This window comes from Homo sapiens, chromosome 7 (genome assembly GCF_000001405.40).
Source record: "Homo sapiens chromosome 7, GRCh38.p14 Primary Assembly".
Classification (NCBI taxonomy): Eukaryota; Metazoa; Chordata; class Mammalia; order Primates; family Hominidae; genus Homo; species Homo sapiens.
Genome location: NC_000007.14, coordinates 152,443,778 through 152,462,383, shown reverse-complemented (window position 1 = coordinate 152,462,383; position 18,606 = coordinate 152,443,778). Strand labels below are relative to the sequence as shown.

The 18,606-nt window shown below is 48.1% G+C and overlaps 1 pseudogene, besides 2 other annotated features; it reads right to left on the bottom strand.

Moving 5' to 3' along the window:
• Positions 9,902-10,402: an enhancer, noted in NCBI's record as "H3K4me1 hESC enhancer chr7:152149067-152149567 (GRCh37/hg19 assembly coordinates)". NCBI's record gives its function as "activates a minimal SCP1, AML or CMV promoter by ChIP-STARR-seq in naive H9 embryonic stem cells {active_cell/tissue: H9 hESC(naive)}" and the evidence as "EXISTENCE:reporter gene assay evidence [ECO:0000049][PMID:30033119]".
• Positions 10,403-10,903: an enhancer, noted in NCBI's record as "H3K4me1 hESC enhancer chr7:152148566-152149066 (GRCh37/hg19 assembly coordinates)". NCBI's record gives its function as "activates a minimal SCP1, AML or CMV promoter by ChIP-STARR-seq in naive H9 embryonic stem cells {active_cell/tissue: H9 hESC(naive)}" and the evidence as "EXISTENCE:reporter gene assay evidence [ECO:0000049][PMID:30033119]".
• Positions 15,108-17,167, bottom strand: CCT8L1P (chaperonin containing TCP1 subunit 8 like 1, pseudogene; annotated as a pseudogene).

The following is an 18,606-nucleotide window of genomic DNA, read 5'->3' as shown; positions in this document are numbered from 1 at the left end:
ATCATGGGGGTCCTAACCGAGCTCCCCATCATGACATTCAAGGCCTACCTTATAGGATCCCTGCCTTACAGGAGCAGTTTCAGTGCAGCAGGCACACTGACCACCTTTCTGCCAAGACCTTTTTGCCAGAGGGCCTTTGCACTTGAATTTCTTTAGACTTTTCGCCTGGCTTAGCTCGTCTGTCACCTTGGGGAGGCATTTTTCTTTCTTTCTTTGTTTCTTTCTCCTTTTTTTTTTTTTGAAACGGAGTCTTGCCCTGTCGCCCAGGCTGGAGTGCAATGGTGCGATTTCAGCTCACTGCAACCTCCGCCTTCCAGGTTTAAGCGATTCTCCTGCCTCAGCCTCCTGAGTAGCTGTGATTACAGGCACGTGCCACCAACCCTGGCTAATTTTTGTATTTTTAGTAGAGATGGGGTTTCACGATGTTGGCCAGGCTGGTCTCAAACTCCTTCACCTCAGCTTACAGGTGTGAACCACTGGGCCCAGCCTCTCCTCTCTTCCCTGCTCCCCTCCCCTCCCCTTCCCTCTTCTCTCTCTTTTCTTTATTTTTCTTTCTTTCTTCCTTTCTTCCTTCGTTTCTTCGTTTCTTCCTCCTTTCCTTTCCTTTTCCTTTTTTTGAGATGGAGTCTCACTCTGTCGCCCATGCTTGGCTCACTGCAACCTCTGCCTCCCAGGTTCAAGTGATTCTCCTGCCTCAGCCTCCCTAGTAGCTGGGATTACAGGTGCCTGCCACCACACCCAGCTAATTTTTGTATTTTTAGTAGAGACAGGGTTTCGCCATGTTGGTCAGGCTGGTCTCGAACTCCTGACCTCAAGTGATCTGCCCACCTCAGCCTCCCAAAGTGTTGGGATTACAGGCATGAGCCACTGCACCTGGCCTCTTTTTCTTTTTTCTTTCTTTCTCTTTCTTTCTCTTTCTTTCTTTTTTTTTTTTTTTTTTTTTTTTTTTTTTGAGACAGGGTCTCTCTCTGTTGCCAAGGCTCCAAGGCTGGAGTGCAGTGGTGCAATCTCGGCTCACTACAGCTTTGACCTCCTGGGCTCAAGTGATCCTCCCACCTCAGCCTCCCAAGTAGTGGGGACTACAGGTATGCACCACCACACCTGGCTAATTTTTTTAATTTTAATTTAATTTAATTAATTTATTTATTTTGAGACAGAGTCTTGCTCTTTCACCCAGGCTGGGGTGCAGTGGCATGATCTCGGCTCACTGCAACCTCCACCTCCTGGGTTCAAGTGATTCTCCTGTTTCAGCCTCCCAAGTAGCTGGGATTACAAACACCCACCATGGTGCCCAGTTAATTTTTGTATTTTTAGTAGAGACGGGGTTTCACCATGTTGGCCAGTCTGGTCTTGAACTCCTGAGCTCTACCTGCTTTGGCCTCCCAAAGTGCTGGGATTACAGGCATGAGCCATGGCACCCAGCCAATTTTTTTTGTCTTTTTTTTTTTTTTTGTGGAGTCTGGGTTTCACATGGTGAAACCCCAGGCTGGTCTCAAACTCCTGGGCTCAAGTGATCCACCCACCTCGGCCTCCCAAAGTGCTAGGATTCCAGGCTTGCACCCCCTCGCCTGGCCTGGGGGAGGCATTTCTGACATTGTACCTAAAGTACCTTTCCCCGCTCCCTATCATATCACCGTGTTTTCCTCAGAGCTCTTGGCACAGTCTGAAATCATTGTTTACTTACTTATTATGGTCTGTTCTCCTTCATCTCCCTTCCACCATTAAGATGTGAGCTGCTGGACACAGGGGCCTTTTCGGTGTTTTTTCTGAACTGTATCTTCAGGGCACAAGGTGAGTGCTCAACAAATCGTTGATGAACAAATGAACAGGTACATTTGCTGTGACCAAATGGACTAACCAAACTGTCCTTCCCTTTGGATTCTGCCACAATTGTATAGACATACCTATAAGTAAGAAAGTTGGGAGAATAGCTATTTTGTTTTTAAATATTTTGTGTTTCTTTGATTCGTGTACTTTATTTCCTGCAATTTTTGAAAACAAATTAGCAACTTTAATTTGTAACAAAAGGATTAAATAAATATCCTCCCCCCCTTTTTTTTTAATCCTGCTATTTCGTGACAAGGAGAGTGGGAAGGCCATTGTCCCAAGGCCACTGTGTTGCCTACTTTTTTTCCAGCTGTTCACAGAATGTAGCCACTGGCCTTGCCCTCACCCTGGCCCCAGGTGGGCAGATAGTTGGCAGGCAGCCCCTTTCTCCAGAGCAGTCTCAGAGGCTCTCTGCTTGGCAGAGGTTTAGAGTGGGGGAAGGGAAGAACTACTGGTTCAGTGTGACCATCCCTGCGGCTCAGCTGCAGCCTCTGCAGTGGTTAAGTGTCATCCCCTCAGGGCAAAAAAGCAGAACATAAGAAGGCCTCTCTTAGCCTCCTCCTTCCTCCCCCTCAAACATACTTCTGGGTTCTGTTCATCAGCTAGATCACAGTCTGATCTTTATCCGGAACCTTTGCACGTGGGGCCCCTTCCACATGCTGAGGCCAAGAGAACCCTAGGTCAGTTGCTGGAGACTTGTAATTTAGTCCTAACTGGCCCCCAATAGGTAATGTATGCTGGGCAAGGTCTAATATCCTCTCTGGGTCTCAGTGACATCATCTGTCTTTGCCTATGTTGTTTATTCAGAGTTTTAAGGATACGGTATAGACGTCTCAGATTTTAGCTGCTAAAAACTATCAGTTCCAAACAAGAATCCTGAGGCTTCCCCTTAGGGCCACAGAGAGGCTGCCAGTAGCAGCAGAAGCCAGTGCTTCCTAATGTATGTTCAGCAGGAGAGAGTGTACTTCTGTTCCGGCATTCCAGTTCAGAGCCCCCAAGTCACCCAATGACTATGGCCAGAAGAATGGAAAGTGTCGATCAGAGTACATCCTTGGAGCAGGGGTGGTGTCGCCTTCTCCATTAAGTGTGTATGTAACTGAAATCTCAATACATTTACGCAGCGGGATGGAGGACAATGCTGAGTAGGTATTCAACAATGCTCTGGACTGGCGCGGTGGCTCACGCCTCTAATCCCAGCACTTTGGGAGGCTGAGGCGTGCAGATCACCTGAGGTCAGGAGTTGGAGACCAGCCTGACCAACGTGGTGAAACCCTGTCTCTACTAAAAATACAAAATTAGCCAGGCATGATGGACGCCTGTAATCCCAGCTATTTGGGAGGCTGAGACAGGAGAATCACTTGAACCTGGGAGGCGGAGGTTGCAGTGAGCCGAGATTGCGCCACTGCACTCCAGCCTGGGCAACAAGAGTGAAACTCCATCTCAATAAATAAATAAATAAATACATAAATAAATAAATAAATAAATAACAATGCCTCGTGAGTAACTGGCACAGTGCAGGACATATCGCATAGCTGATGTTAGCCATTGCTATTGGCAGCAAAGATAACACGTTGTGGGAGAATCAGCCTGGCACCAAGTCATTCTCTCAGGTCCCTAATCTGCCACTAACTACTGTCTTAGTGATGTCAGACAAATTATGGAAATTATACAATTTTAGAAGTGGAAGAGTTCTTAGAGGTCACAGGGCTCAATCCTTCATTGGACAGACTTGGAAACTGATACCCAGAGACAACAGTCTGAGTCTCAGTTTCTTCCTTTGTGAAGTGAGGCTAATAATACTGGTCATGTCTACCCTTGATGTTATGATGAGGATCAAATGAGGTACTGTTTATGTATAAGGCTTGGAAATGCTATTCTTTTTTTTTTTTTTTTTTTTTTTGAGACAGAGTCTCGCTCTTGCTGCCCAGGCTGGAGTACAGTGGTGCGATCTCGGCTCACTGCAATCTCCACCTCCCAGGTTCAAGCGATTCCCCTGCCCCAGCCTCCCAAGCAGCTGGGATTACAGGTGTCCACCACGCCTGGCTAATTTTTATATTTATAGTAGAGATGGGGTTTCACCATGTTGGCCAGGCTGGTCCTGAACTCCTGACCTCAGATGATCCACCCGCCTCGGCCTCCCAAAGTATTGGGATTACAGGTGTGAGCCACCGCCCCCGCCTGGAAATGCTATTCTTATGGGAAGCATTTTATTTGTGTTATTATTAATGTAGTAATTATGCCTCATTAAGGGGAGAAATGGAGAGTGCCTTCAAAGGATAAGCTTACTTGGTTCAAAATGAATAATGGCACTTGAGAGTGTGTGGTGTGTGTGTGTGTGTTCGTGTTCTTGTTAAGATGGGGAAGGTGTAGTTGAGACATGGCCCTTCGTGTACCATTAAGGAGTGGCATAGGGAATTGTTCTTAGGATGAAAGAGATTGGTGTGGTAGTTGGCTATAAATTGAAGTTGTCTCTCCTTGACTGACATTTGAGGAGAGTTGCTGACCTGGTAGGGCAAATCAAGTACTAGGAAAAGGCAACCTCTTAGAGAGAAATCGCATTAGGCCTTTCTTTGCCTTGCTATAAAGAAATACCTGAGACTGGGTATTTTATAAAGAAAAGAAGTTTAGGCCGGGCACAGTGGCTAACGCCTGTAATCTCCAGCACTTTGGGAAGCTGAGGTGGGAAGATCATCTAAGGTCAGGAGTTTGAGACCAGCCTGGCCAACATGGTGAAACCCCGTCTCTACTAAAAATACAAAAATTAGCTGGGCGGGGTGCTGCACGCCTGTGGTTCCAGCTACTCGGGAGGCTGAGGCAGGAGAATCGCTTGAACCTGGGAGGCAGAGGTTGCAGTGAGCTGAGATCATGCCAATGCAATCCAGCCTGGGCAACAGGAGGAGACTCTGTTTCAAAAAAAAAAAAAATACAGTCATGGTGGCGGGCGCCTGTAATCCCAGGAGAATCGCTTTAACCCGGGAGGCGGAGGCTGCAATGAGCTGAGGTTGCACCACTGCACTCCAGCCTGGGTGACAGAGTGAGACTCTGTCTTAAAAAAAAAAAGAAAAGAGGTTTAATTGACTTAGAGTTCTGCAGGCTGTACAGGAAGCGTGACACCAGTATCTGCCTGGCTTCTGGGGAGGCCTCAGGGAGCTTTTACTCATGGTGGAAGGAGAAGCTATAGCAGGGATGGGGGAGGTGTCACACAGTTTACAACAACCTGATCTTGTGAGAACTCACTGGCTATCCAAGCCATGAGGGATCCACCCCTAGACCCAAACACCTTCCACCAGGCCCCACCTCCAACCCTAGGGGTTACATTTCAACATGAGATTTGGGCAGGGACAAATATCCAAACTATATCAGTCATCTTTTTTTATATTTTTAATTTTAACTTTTTTTTTTTCCTGAGACGAGGTCTCAATCTGTCGCCCAGGCTGGAGCACAGTGGTGCTATCTTGGATCACTGCAACCTCCACCTCCTGGGCTCAAGCGATCCTCCCACCTCAGCCTCCTGAGTAGCTGGGACCACGGGCATGCACCACCACACCCGGCTAAATCAGTAACTTTATGTTAGTATTTTACCACCTTGTGTTGGTTCAGGTCCTTTGAAAAATAGATGCCAAGACGATTGTCATACAAGAGATTTATGGAAGAAACACTGATGAGGGGAAAAAAGTGGAGAAAGTTGGAGGAATGAGGAATTTTATTTATTTTTATATTTATTTATTTATTTGAGACAGAGTCTTGCTCTGTCACCCAGGTTGGAGTGCAGTGGTGAGATCTCAGCTCACTGCAACCTCTGCCTCCTGGCTTCAAGCGATTCTCCTGTCTCAGCCTTCTGAGTAGCTGGGATTACAGGTGTGTGCTGCCATGCCTGGCTAACTTTTGTATTTTTAGTAGAGATGGGGTTTCACCATGTTGGCCAGGCTGATCTCAACCTCCTGACCTCAGGTGATCCGCCCTCCTTAGCCTCCCAAAGTGCTGGGATTACAGGTGTGAGCCACCTCGCCTGGCCGGAATGGGGAAATTTGACCCCCCAGAAAGAAAAGAGAACAGAGTAAGTAGGAGGGTCCCAGACTGCAGTGCAGCTCTCAGATGATTTTGGCCAAACTGACCCAAGTCCCCATTAGAATCTGGCAGGAAGTGACCTTATTATCCCATAGTCGCTGTCTGGGCGTAGCCCTCAGGAAGCACGGTCTTATTGTAAATGTGGTGGTGGTAGATTCAGAGGACAGCAGTTGAGGTTCTCAGTCAATTACACCTGCAGCAGGAGATCCGAGTGGGGTCTTTCCACAGTTGTCATCATCCCACTGGTTTCAAAACAGCTCCATTCATTCACTGAGGGGCTGACCACCCGGGATGTTTCTGTGGCAGTGGCACACAGAAGCATGCGACCCTTGTCTTCTCCAGCCATCTTCCATGTAATTTTTCTTTTTTTTTTTTTTGAGACGGAGTCTCGCTCTGTTGCCCAGGCTGGAGTGCAGTGGCGCAATCTCGGCTCACTACAACCTCCGCCTCCCAGGTTCACACCGTTCTCCTGCCTCAGCCTCCCTAGTAGCTGGGACTACAGGTGCCCGCCGCCACGCCCGGCTAATTTTTTGTATTTTTAGTAGAGATGGGGTTTCACCGTGTTAGCCAGGATGATCTTGATCTCCTGACCTTGTGATCTGCCCGCCTCGGCTTCCCAGAGTGCTGGGATTACAGGCGTGAGCCACCGTGCCCGGCATAATTTTTCATATTTCAAAATGGCGAGTTTGTCTGATCGAGACTCCTTGCCTGCTGACCAAGTTGAATTCTGGTTGCTGGGTAATTCTTTACAAGGGTTGGCACTTAATAAATGTTCAAATTGTTCGAACAATAAACCGAAGTGCACCCTTGGGTTTATTGACTTGAAAGGTAAATAGTTACACTTACTTCCAGAACTCCACTGTTTCTATGCAGAATGAGAGGAGATGTTTAGCTTGCAACACTCTGAGAAGCTCATTTGGATAAGTCCCCCCCAAAAAAAGTTTACGAGTATTCATAGATAAAAGAAGAAAATTTTATTAAAAGCTGAAGTGCTCAGTAGAGAAAAAAAAATGAAAGAAGAGAAATTTAAGAAAATCCAGTGCTGGGCGTGGTGGCGCACACCAGTAATCCCAGCAATTCAGGAGGCCAAAGCAGGCAGATTACTTGAGGTCAGGAGTTTGAGAACAGCCTGCCCAACACGGCAAAACACCATCTCTACTAAAAATACAAAAATTGGCTGGGCGTGGTGGCACCTGCTTGTAGTCACAGCTACTTGGGAGGCTGAGGCAGGAGAATCACTTGAACCCAGGAGGCAGAGGTTGCAGTGAGCCGAGATGGTGCCACTGCACTCCAGCCTGGGCAACAGAGTGAGACTCTGTCTCAAAAAAAAAAAAGAACATCAGATTTTATAGATTGTATCTTTGTTGTAAGATGTTGAACATCTAAATTAAGACTTTAAATTTCAGTCCAGGCATGGTGGCTGATGCCTGTAATCCCAGCACTTTGGGAGACCGAGGTGGGTGGATCACCTGAGGTTGGGAGTTTGAGACCAGCCTGACCAACATGTAGAAACCCCATCTCTACTAAAACAAAACAAAACAAAACAAAAATTTAGTTGAGCGTAGTGGCACATGCTTGTAATCCCAACTACTCGGGAGGCTAAGGCAGGAGAATCGCTTGAACCTGGGAGGCAGAGGTTGTGGTGAGCCGAGATCATGCCACTGCACTCCAGCCTGGGCAACAAGAGCGAAACTCTGTCTCAAAAAAAAAAAAGACTTTAAATTTCAGTAACATATGAGTATATTTTGAAATGTTTTCTATTTAGTTTTAGGAATTAAGGCAAGTATAGATTCTTCTCAAAATGTAACATAGAAAATATCACAAGTAGTTTTAGAAACTATTTTCAACTGAAACAATATTTCAATCTTGGTTCATGGATTGTTATGCCTCTTGTAAATAAAACTACACTAGCCTGGTGCATGGCTCACGCCTGTAATCCCAGCAGGCTGAGGCAGGTGGATCATCTGAGGTCAAGAGTTTGAGACCAGCCTGGCCAACATGATGAAACCCCATCTCTACAAAAAATGCAAAAAATATATCTATATAGGCCAGGCGCGGTGGCTCACGCCTGTAATCCCAGCACTTTGGGAGTCCGAGGTGGGCGGATCACAAGGTCAGGAGTTTGAGACCAGCCTGGCCAACATGGTGAAACCCCGTCTCTACTAAAAATACAAAAATTAGCCGGGCGTGATGGTGCATGCCTGTAATCCCAGCTACTCAGGAGGCTGAGGCAGGAGAATCAGTTGAACTTGGAAGGCAGAGGTTGCAGTGAGCCGAGATCGCGCCACTGCACTCCAGCCTGGGTGACAGAGCAAGACTCTGTCTCAAAAAAAAAAAAAAAAAAAAAATATATATATATATATATATATAAGCTGGGTGTGGTGGCACGCACCTGTAATCCCAGCTATTTGAGAGGCTGAGGCAGGAGAATCACTTGAACTCGGGAGGTGGAGGCTGCAGTGAGCTGAGATTGTGCCACTTTACTCCAGCCTAGGTGACAGAGGAAGACTCTGTCTCAAAAAAAACAAACAATAACAACAAAAAGAAACCCACAGTAATAAAATTGAAATAGAAGGAGGTTTGCAATCAAAATGACTGACTAGGAATGAAATAGGAAACATAATATGTTGCATCTGCATAGGGAAGTCTGAGATTGGCTGATATTGTTCTCTTCTGTAGGGGAAATACTAGTCCAGAACTTGGGGTGCCTGCCAAGAGGGGAGCAGCCACAGTAGGGAGGGGGGATTCTGGAATGCTAGGGTTCTGGAGTCTGTGGACACAGGAGGCAGAGGACATGTGTTAAGATGTTTTAAGAAATGAATGTTGATCTGGATATGAAAATATTTTTCAGCCGGGCGCAGTGGCTCACGTCTGTAATCCCAGCACTTTGGGAGGCTTAGGCGGGCGGATCACAAGGTCAGGAGATCAAGACCATCATGGCTAACACAGTGAAACCTCATCTCTACTAAAAATACAAAAAGTTAGCTGGGCGTGGTGGCGGAGGCCTGTAATCCCAGTTGCTCAGGAGGCTGAGGCAGGAGAATGGCGTGAACCCGGGACGGAGCTTGCATGAGCCAAGATTGCGCCTCTGCACTCTAGCCTGGGCGACAGAGGGAGACTCCATCTAAAAAAAAAAAAAAAAAAAAAGAAAGAAAATATTTTTCACTATAGAGAGGCATATGTCCCCTGAGCTTGCCGGGATCTATCTTTCCTTGCTGATGCATTCTGTGAGTTAGAAGAAAACTTCCAAAGAGCCATTTTTTCCACCCTGTCTACTGTATAAAATTGCTTCTCAAACATGTGCTGCATTGCAGAGGATTACCATTGTTTTGCTAACCAGCGTCTGGTCTTTCTTATGTGGCGCTGCAATTACTAGTGTCAAACCCTGTTGGTAATACCCAGAGGACAGTGTCTGAAGTCCTTATTCAGTATTCACATTTGGCCGGGTGTGGTGGCTCACACCTGTAATCCCAGCACTTTGGGAAGCAGAGGCAGGTGGATCACTTGAGGTCAGGAGTTCAAGACCAGCCTGGCCAACATGGTGAAACCCCATCTCTACTAAAAATACAAAAATTAGCCGGGCGTGGTGTCAGGTGCCTGTAATCTCAGCTACTTGGGAGGCTGAGACAGGAGAATCACTTGAACCCAGGAGGCGGAGGTTGCAGTGAGCCAAGATTGTGCCACTGTACTCCAGCCTGGGGGAAAGAGCGACTCTGTCTCAAAAAAAAAAAAAAAAAGAAAATTCACGTTTGTAGAGAGTTTAAATTCTTTTTTGATATGGAGTCTCACTCTGTTGCCCAGTCTGGAGTGCAGTGGCAGGGTCTTGGCTCACTGCAACCTCTGCCTCCCAGGCTCAAGCGATTCTCCTGCTTTAGCCTCCCGAGTAGCTGGGATTACAAGCACCCACCAAAACGCCTGGACAATTTTTGTATTTTTATTAGAGAAAGGGTCTCACCATGTTGTCCAGGCTGATCTGAAACTCCTGACCTCAGGTGATCTGCCTGCCTCGGCCTCCCAAAGTGCTGGGATTACAGGCATGAGCCACTATGCCCGGCCGAGAGTTTAAATTCTTAAGTCCTACGCTTCAATGTGTGGGAAGTATTCGTGCTATGCTTTTATAACTAAATCATCTCAGTATTTCTATTTCTAGCCCCTTTTTCTGCCTGATGGTAAAATAATTAATCTAGTCAATTCCAGGTAAACTTTGGCCTTTTATGATTTTTCCTGATCAGGCTAAACCTCAACCAAGTCCATTCTTGATCTTCTCCTTCACCTCCTTCTCTCATTCACCCCACAATTAGTCTCCAGTCCACGGGCTGATGCAGCATCTTGGTGTCCTGTGGTCTGAGGTCATTTTCTGTCTTTCTCAAGCCTCAGCTAAAGTTTACAATCCTACCTTTTCTCATGACCTTGAAATGCCCTAAGGTTCAGCGGCTTCATGGTTGCTGCTTCATGGGGGACCCTGGCTGTTCTCTGAGGCTGCTCAGCACCGCGAACATCCCATCAACTACCCGGGGCCCATCTCCGCCCGAGGCCTCAGCCATTCCTGGTCTACAGCTCTGCTGTCTGGTTGGCACAGGGAACTCCTTGGGGCCCCAGGGTTCCAGATTGGAAGCAGAGAATCTCCTCTCTTCTCAGACCCCCAAACTTTGCTGCGGATTCTAATTGTCCTTTCCCCAATCTCACTCCTTGGAACCCACTGGGAGGTGAGTAGAATCCCTCTCAGAGATTCTACCACCATCTCCCTCATTCTTACCCTAACCTTCTTCCTCTTCCTCCCTAGTTAGGAAAGAGGATCTTTAGCCTGCGGCGGGGGGCGGGGGGGGGGGGGTTGGGGGGGTGGGGATTCTTGATGTTTCAGGGGAAAAGGTGACTCATCTACTTTTGGAATATCTGTCATACCTGTCTACTGGTGCAGTGAGCCGGGATCACACCACTACACTCCAGCCTGGGTGACAGAGCAAGACTCCATCTCAAAAAAAAAAAAAAAAAAAAAAAGACTCTGGAGAAACAACTCAATACGCATGAGAAGAGGCTGGCCCATGTAGAGAAAGGACTGGCAAACTATGACAACTCTTTTCTGTTGTTTTGTTTTCAATCTTCTCTTCACAGTTCTTTTCACAGTTTGGAATTGATACCTTTTTCTCTTCATCAGAACTCCAATGTTTTTGTAGATTGAAGTCTTTTTTTTTTTTTTTTTTTCTTGAGAAAGGGTCTCACTCTGTCACCCAGGCTGGAGTGCAGTGGACCAATCACTGCTCACTGCAGCCTCGACTTCCTGGGCTCAAGAAATCCTTCCATCTCAGCCCCCCCCAGTAGCTGGGACTACAGGTGTGCACCACCATGCCCAGTTAATTTTTATTTTTTAATTTATTATTATTATTATTTTGAGATGGAGTCTTGCTCTGTTGCCCAGGCTGGAGTGCAGTGGCACCATCTCGGCTCACTGCAACCTCTGCCTCCTAGGTTCAAGAGATTCTCTTGCCTCAGCCTTCCGAATAAGTGGGACTACAGGTGCATGCCACCACACCTGGGTAATTTATTTATTTTTTTGTAGAAAAGGGGTATCAGTGCGCTGTCCAGGCTGGTCTCAAACTCCTAACCTCAAGCGATCCGCCTGCCTTGGCCTTTCAAACTACTGGGATTAGAGGTGATGAGCCACCATGACTGGCCTACATATAGCCCAAATGGATGAGCAGTTCCCAAGGCTCAGTCCCAGCCTCCACTATCCAAGTCAGCCTCTCATCTCCTTCATTTCCGAGGACTCAGTTCTCATTTTCCTCCCGTTTTCTCTGGATTGTGGCTATTGTTCTCTGGTTGCTAGATCAAGCTGGAGCACAGTAAAGCAGTGTCACAAAGCTGGAAGGGGTCTGGGATGAGTCCACCAGCTACAAGTTCTTATAGAAAATGTACTCCAGGAATGGCCAGGCGCAGTGGCTCATGACTGTAATCCCAGCACTTTGGGAGGCCAAGGCGGGCGGATCACCTGAGGTCAGGAGTTCAAGATCAGCCTGACCAACATGGAGAAACCCCGTCTCTAGTAAAAATACAAAATTAGCCAGGTGTGGTGGCACATGCCTATAATCCCAGCTACTCCTGAGGCAGAGGAATCGCTTGAACCTGGGAGGCGGAGGTTGTGGTGAGCCGAGATTATGCCATTGTACTCCAGCCTGGGCAACAAGAGCGAAACTCCCTCTCAAAAAAAAAGAAAAAGAAAATGTCCTCCAGGAATTGTCATTTCTGAAATTCAACTGCTTCTGGAATTGAAGCAAGCAGCTCATCTTGGAAGAGAAATATGTAGCCAACCCCAAAGCCAAAGCCTTTGAGGATTGAGACCTAGCATGCTAGGAGACCTTGATCCTGTAATCTCAGAAGAAGAGTCTGGATCTGGCCAAATTGAGGTCAAATTCTGGTCAACTTCTCCATAGTCAGTAGGAGAAAAAAACCAACTTGATGTTTGAGTCACATGTTTTGACAACTAAAGAGGACACTTATGCTGGGGTTGGTGGTTCATGCCTGTAATCCCAGCACTTTGGGTGGTTGAGGCGGGCGAATCATTTGAGGTCAGGGGTTCGAGACCAGCCTGGCCAACATGGTGAAACCCCGTCTCTACAAAAAATTCAAAAAAATTGGCTGGGCACAGTGGCTCATGCCTGTAATCCCGGCACTTTGGGAGGCTGAGGCGGGTGGATCACGAGGTCAGGAGTTCGAGACCAGCCTGGCCATTATGGTGAGACCCTGTGTCTACTAAAAATACAAAAATTATCCAGGCATGGTGGCGCGCACCTGTAGTCCCAGCTACTCAGGAGGCTGAGACGGAAGAATCTCTTCAACCTGGGAGGTGGAGGTTGCAGTGAGCTGAGATCACACCACTGCACTCCAGCCTGGGTGACAGAGTGAGATGCCATCTCAAAAAAAAAAAAAACAAAAATTCAAAAAAATTAGTCTGGCTTAGTGGCGGACGCCTGTAATCCCAGCTACTGGGAGGGTGAGGCAGGAGAATCACTTGAACCTGGGAGGTGGAGGTTGCAGTGAGCCGAGATCATGCTACTGCACTCCAGCCTGGGCAAGTGAGACTCCATCTCAAAAAAAAAAAAAAAAAAAAAAGGACACTTAAAGATGACATTAAAGAGGATACTTAGATTCTAGACAAAATCAAGATATAGCAAATTGGGGTGGGACACACCCGTAATCCCAGCATTTGGGGAGGCCGAGGCAGGTGGATCACCTGAGGTCCAAAGTTTGAGACCAGCCTGGCCAACATGGCAAAACCCCGTCTCTACTAAAAATACAAAAATTAGCCAGGTGTGGTGGTGGACACCTGTAGTCCCAGCTACTCAGGAGGCTGAGGCAGGAGAATCATTTGCGCCCAGGAGGTGGAGGTTGCAGTGAGCTGAGACTGCACCGCTGCACTGGTTCCTGGGCCACACCAGTCACTATGCCTGGGTGACAGAGCAAGACTCTGTCTCAAAATAAATAAATAAATAAAATTTTGTTTTGCTGTGTTGCGGCTAATATGCGTGCTATAAGACAATGGTTTCTTGAGTCTCATTCTCTCTGCATATGCCTAAAGCTTTTTTATTTTTATGATTCTAAGAGATTGTACCTTCTCATCTCCTAGATTCTGTCCCATAGGTTCTGATCTTTTCCTAGGGTAACTTGGATGGTTAAAAATGTGGAAAAAGCTTTGGGTATTAGGTGCTGAACCCACTCACCTCTGCTTAGACCCCTTCTTTAATGCCCAAGGTTGTCCAATCCTAGCCCTTCCCCCTACCCTCAGCTTTCTCCTCACCTACACAACAACCTTAGCATAGTCCTAAGGTATGTGTTCTTATCTTCTGTTATCTATGCCAAGGATGTTTGCTGGTTTTGGTTTGTTTTGTTTTGTTGAGACAGGGTCTTGCTCTGTCTCTTAGGCTGGAGTGCAGTGGCACAATCACAGCTCACTGCAACCTCGATCTCCTGGGCTTAAGTGATCCTCCCACCTCAGCCTCCTGAGTAGCTGGGACTACAGGTATGCATCACCACGCCTGGCTAATTTTTTTTTTTTTTTTTTTTGAGGCAGAGTTTTGCTCTTGTTGCCCAGGCTGGGGTACAATGGCATCATCTCAGCTCACAACAACCTCTGCCTCGCGGGTTCAAGCAATTCTCCTGCCTCAGCCTCTCAAGTAGCTGGGATTACAGGCATGTGCCACCACGTCCGGCTACTTTTTTGTATTTTTAGTAGAGATGGGGTTTCTGCATGTTGGTCAGGCTGGTCTTGAACTCCTGACCTCAGGTGATCCGCCCACCTCGGGCTCCTAAAGTGCTGGGATTACAGGCTTGAGCCACCACGCCCGGCCCACGCCTGGCTAATTTTTTTTAATTTTTATTTTTGTAGAGACAGGGTCTCACTATGTTGTCCAGGCTGGTCTTGAACTCCTGGACTCAAGCGATCTTCCTGTCTCAGCCTCCCAAAGTGCAGGAATTACAGGCATGAGCCACTGTGTCAGGCAAGGATTTTTTTTTTTAAGTTAAATTTCTGCCTGCCAGCACAGCAGCCCCTTTTCCTGCTTTCTCTCTCTCTCTGTGCTTTAAGATGATAGTCCCTTCTTTTTTTTCAAATAACCACAACAGGAAGGACTGACCACTCTTGTAAGCTGCAACTGATGTTTTCAGACTCCTAAAGTGACATCTAGACATAAGTCCATATATGTCAGAATATCATGCAGGGAATGCTCAAATAGTTGGGAAGAGATTGCTGCACTGTGTTTTGCATGCCCAAAGCCCACATAGGTACTCAGTTTAAAAATCTTAATAGAATTGAATCCTGCTCTTATCGTAGGAAAGGAAGAGAATCTGATAGAGAGAAACAGAAAACGAAAAGGTCAAGAACTGGCCGGGCACGGTGGCTCTCGCCTGTAATCCCAGCACTTTGGGAGGCTGAGGCAGGAGGATCATGAGGTCAGGAGTTCGAGACCAGCCTGGCCAATATGGTGAAACCCCGTCTCTACTAAAAATACAAAAAAATAGCTGGGTGTGGTGGCGCGCACCTGTAGTCCCAGCTATTCGGGAGGCTGAGGCAGGAGAATCGCTTGAACCAGGGAGGCGGAGGTTGCAGTGAGCCAAGATCATGCCACTGCACACCAGCCTGGGCAACAGAGCAAGACTCCATCTCTAAAAAAAAAAAAAAAATTCGAGAACTGGAAAGGAACTAAGCACATGAAAAGAAATTTTATGTTCCTTCATGTTTTTATTTAAAGAAACTGAATCAAGTACCAAACATGGAATAAAGGCAAACATTCATTTTTGGGGTGATTGTTCCCTTCTTGGCAATCCCTGTTTTATTGAGGGTATCACTAGTTATTCATTCCAAGGATTTTTTTTTTTTCCACAGGAGGTGGGCGTTTCTTTGTCTTCTTAGAGTCAGGATTCCAGATCTGCTGATGTGTGGGACTTTTCTTGGCCACTACGATTTCATCTACAGTCACGAGCTGTAGCACCACCTCAGCCACTGCTCGAAATCCTTGGGCTTTGACTATTAGGGTGTCCCACACCCCTTCCTGGGCCACATTTATTATCCCTTCAGCTCCCACACCCATTAGGAGGTTCCCACCTTGGTGCACTCCACTCATTTCTGCAACCACGTCTGAGACAGCTAAGCCTGCATTCTCTGCCAAGGTTTTAGGAAGATACTTCAGGGCCCGGGCAAATGCTAGGAATGCAGGCCCATTGGGCCCTTCCAATCTGCTTCCTTTATCAGAGAGCATTTTTGCCAAAGCCATTTCTGTGGCCCCAGCTCCTGGGATCAGTCTGGGATCTTGACATGGCTGGAAATAGGCATCAATGCTGTGGTAGACGGCCTGCTCTGCACTCCGCAGCCCCTGGGTGGTGGCTCCCCTGAGAACCACGGTGAGGGCAGGTGTGCCTGTACATTCCCATTCAAATACCACAGCCAAACCATCTCCCAGCTCCTGCCTGTAAACCCTCTGGCACTTGCCTGGCCTCTGGGGAGGGAGCAGACGAGGCAGCAGCGGTGTGTCCAACACCTCACTCAGGTAAATGATCTCCATCCGAGACCTAGCCTGAATCACCACGATGCCATACTTGTCCGCCAGTGTGAGGGTCTCCTCGTCGACCTCCCCCAACACCACTGCCACATTAATTCCCGCGGCTGCCAGCTGGCCTACTTGCTTTTCTAGTAATTGGTCACTTCCTTTACTAAATTGAGCTAGATCAGCAGGACTAGAAAGACAGGCCGTTGCTGGTGCATTTGGATGGGCAGGACCAAAGGGGCAAGCAAAGAGAGCCACCCTGGCACCACTTAACACTGCGGCCATTTGCCCACAGAGCTTCCCAGATATTGCTAACCCCTGGAGGAGGCAGGAATCCTCCAGTGTCCCCCCGTGCAGCGTGCACACCCCAACACGCTCAGGCTTGAAGCTGCCGTCTAGCTCCTTGATAGCCCAGCAGGCGTGGGCCACCAGCTTGGTCAAGTGGTTCATGGGGGGCAGGGTGTGGGTATTCATCACAGAATGGAGGGCCCAGGACGGATCTTCCAAAGGCCCCAGAGATTGGATGGCCAGGGAGGGCAGTGTGGCCAGGACCTCTGCAGTGGCTGTGGCGTAGGCCTCCCGGAGCTGCGGGCGAGGCAGGCCGAACTTCAGCAGCTGCTCTGCCTGTTCCAGCAAGGCTTCCGTCAGCAGAACCACGAAGGCTGTGCCATCCCCACTATTCTCTGCTTGGGTTTGGGCTGCTTCCCGGAGGAGCCATGCCGCTGGGTGCTCCAGCTCCAGGGCCCTGAGGATGGCAGTGGCACACCCCGTGCACACTGTTTCTCCTTTCATGGTCACCAGGAACTTCTGCCGGCCATGGGGGCCATAGCAAGGCCGGATGACATTGGCCAGGGTCTGGACTGCAGCCAAGCTGCTCAGCAGGTGGGGCTCCTCCTCTTCCGGACTCCTTGGGCTCTCCCTTGGGTTCAGTGCCAGCCGCTGGGGCAGCTCCAGGGCTGAAGGGACTGTGCTGTCCATGGCCCGCAGAAAGAGGAGAGGCCACCGTGGGTTGCAGAGATGCTCTAGAAACAGCAGCAGGGGCACCCTTGACACCGATCGTTGAAAGTACTCAAGAGGTCAGTGGAAGCAAGGAGCCAAATGCCCATTGATTGGTATCTGAAGATGTTAGCACAGACCAGCGCTCCACTGTGGGTCCAAGGATGAGCTCCAAAGAGCCCAGTCCTAAAGCCACCCCAGGGTTGATTCTGTAAAGGAACTGGGTCTTGGGGCCTCTCAACCTTGGTGGCTGAAATGGGATCTTTAACTGATGAAGTCACAAAGTGGAAAATGGAACCAGGATAGAGAATGAGGTCGCAGAAGTCTGGTTAGAACTGAGGAGGCCCTACCAGCAGGCAAAAGTCAGGCCTTGTCCAGCAATGGAGGTACATGCACCTCTGCACCAGGTCTGAGACTTGTTTAAACGTTAGATACAATAAGGAGGAGATCAAGTGAAAAACTACCCACTTCACCCTGTCTGGAGTGCAGGGGCATGACCATGGTTCACTGCAGGCCCAACTCCCTGGTCTCAAGCAGTCTTCCTGTTCAGCCTCCCAAGTACCTGGGACTATAGGCGCACACCACCACACCTAGCTAGTTTTTTTATTTTTTATAGAGACAGGGTTTCTGTATGTTGTCCAGGCAGGTCTCAAATTCCTAGCCTCAAGAGAGCCTTCCACCTTGGCCTCCCGAAGTGCTAGGACTACAGGTGTGAGCCACCACCACACCCACGCTTTTTTTTTTTTTTTTTTTTTTTTGAGACAGAGTTGCACTCTGTTGCCCAGGCTGGAGTGCAGTGGTACAATCTTAGCTCACTGCAACCTCCGCCTCCCAGGTTGAAGCAATTCTCCTGCCTCAGCCTCCCAGTAGCTGGGATTACAGGTGCCAGCCACCATGCCCGGCTAATTTTTTGTATTTTTAGTAGAGATGGGGGGTTTCACCATGTTGGCCATAGTTGGCCAGGCCGGTCTCGAACTCCTGGCCTCAAGTGATCTGCCCACCTCGGCCTCCAAAAATGCTGGGATTACAGGTGTGAGCCACTATACCTGGCCTTTTTTTTTTTTTTGAGAAGGAACTGAGAGACGATGTCTGTGTTTTGTTTTGTTTTGGTGTTACTTTCTCTTGCAGTACTGTGTAATATTAGCCATGTTTTGCTATCTGTCTGCCTTTGCCTTTTTGGGTATCTTATCAGTTTGTGCTTGTGTATCAGGTTTCTTAGGGTGTCTGTTGGTCTTTCAGGGTGCAGGTGTGGGAGGCTGCACAGCGTGCATGCCTGTGCCACGACTCCCAACTCTGCCTCCCTGGCAGAGGCAGGGCAAGACAAGCGGGGAAGGATGCTGACAGCTCACAGACAAATAGAAGTGAACCCAGAGGGGTGAAAAGCAACCAGCCTCCCAGCGGTCAGGGAGGTAGAAGCCTAAATGGGGCCCTGAGGTTTAAATGCGAATCGCCTTCCCATCCTAACCTTCAATGCTTACAATTTAAGTCTCTTTTTTTCATTCTCTCTCCTTTCCTCACTCGTCTCCTCTTTCTTCCTATAGAGCCTACTCGGGTAATGATGCTTCTGCTTTAGTTTAACACATATTTAGTCTGGGTGTGGTGGCTCATGCGTGTAATCCCTGCACTTTGGGAGGCTGAGGCGGGAGGACTGCTTAAGCTCAGGAGGTTGAGGCTTCAGTGA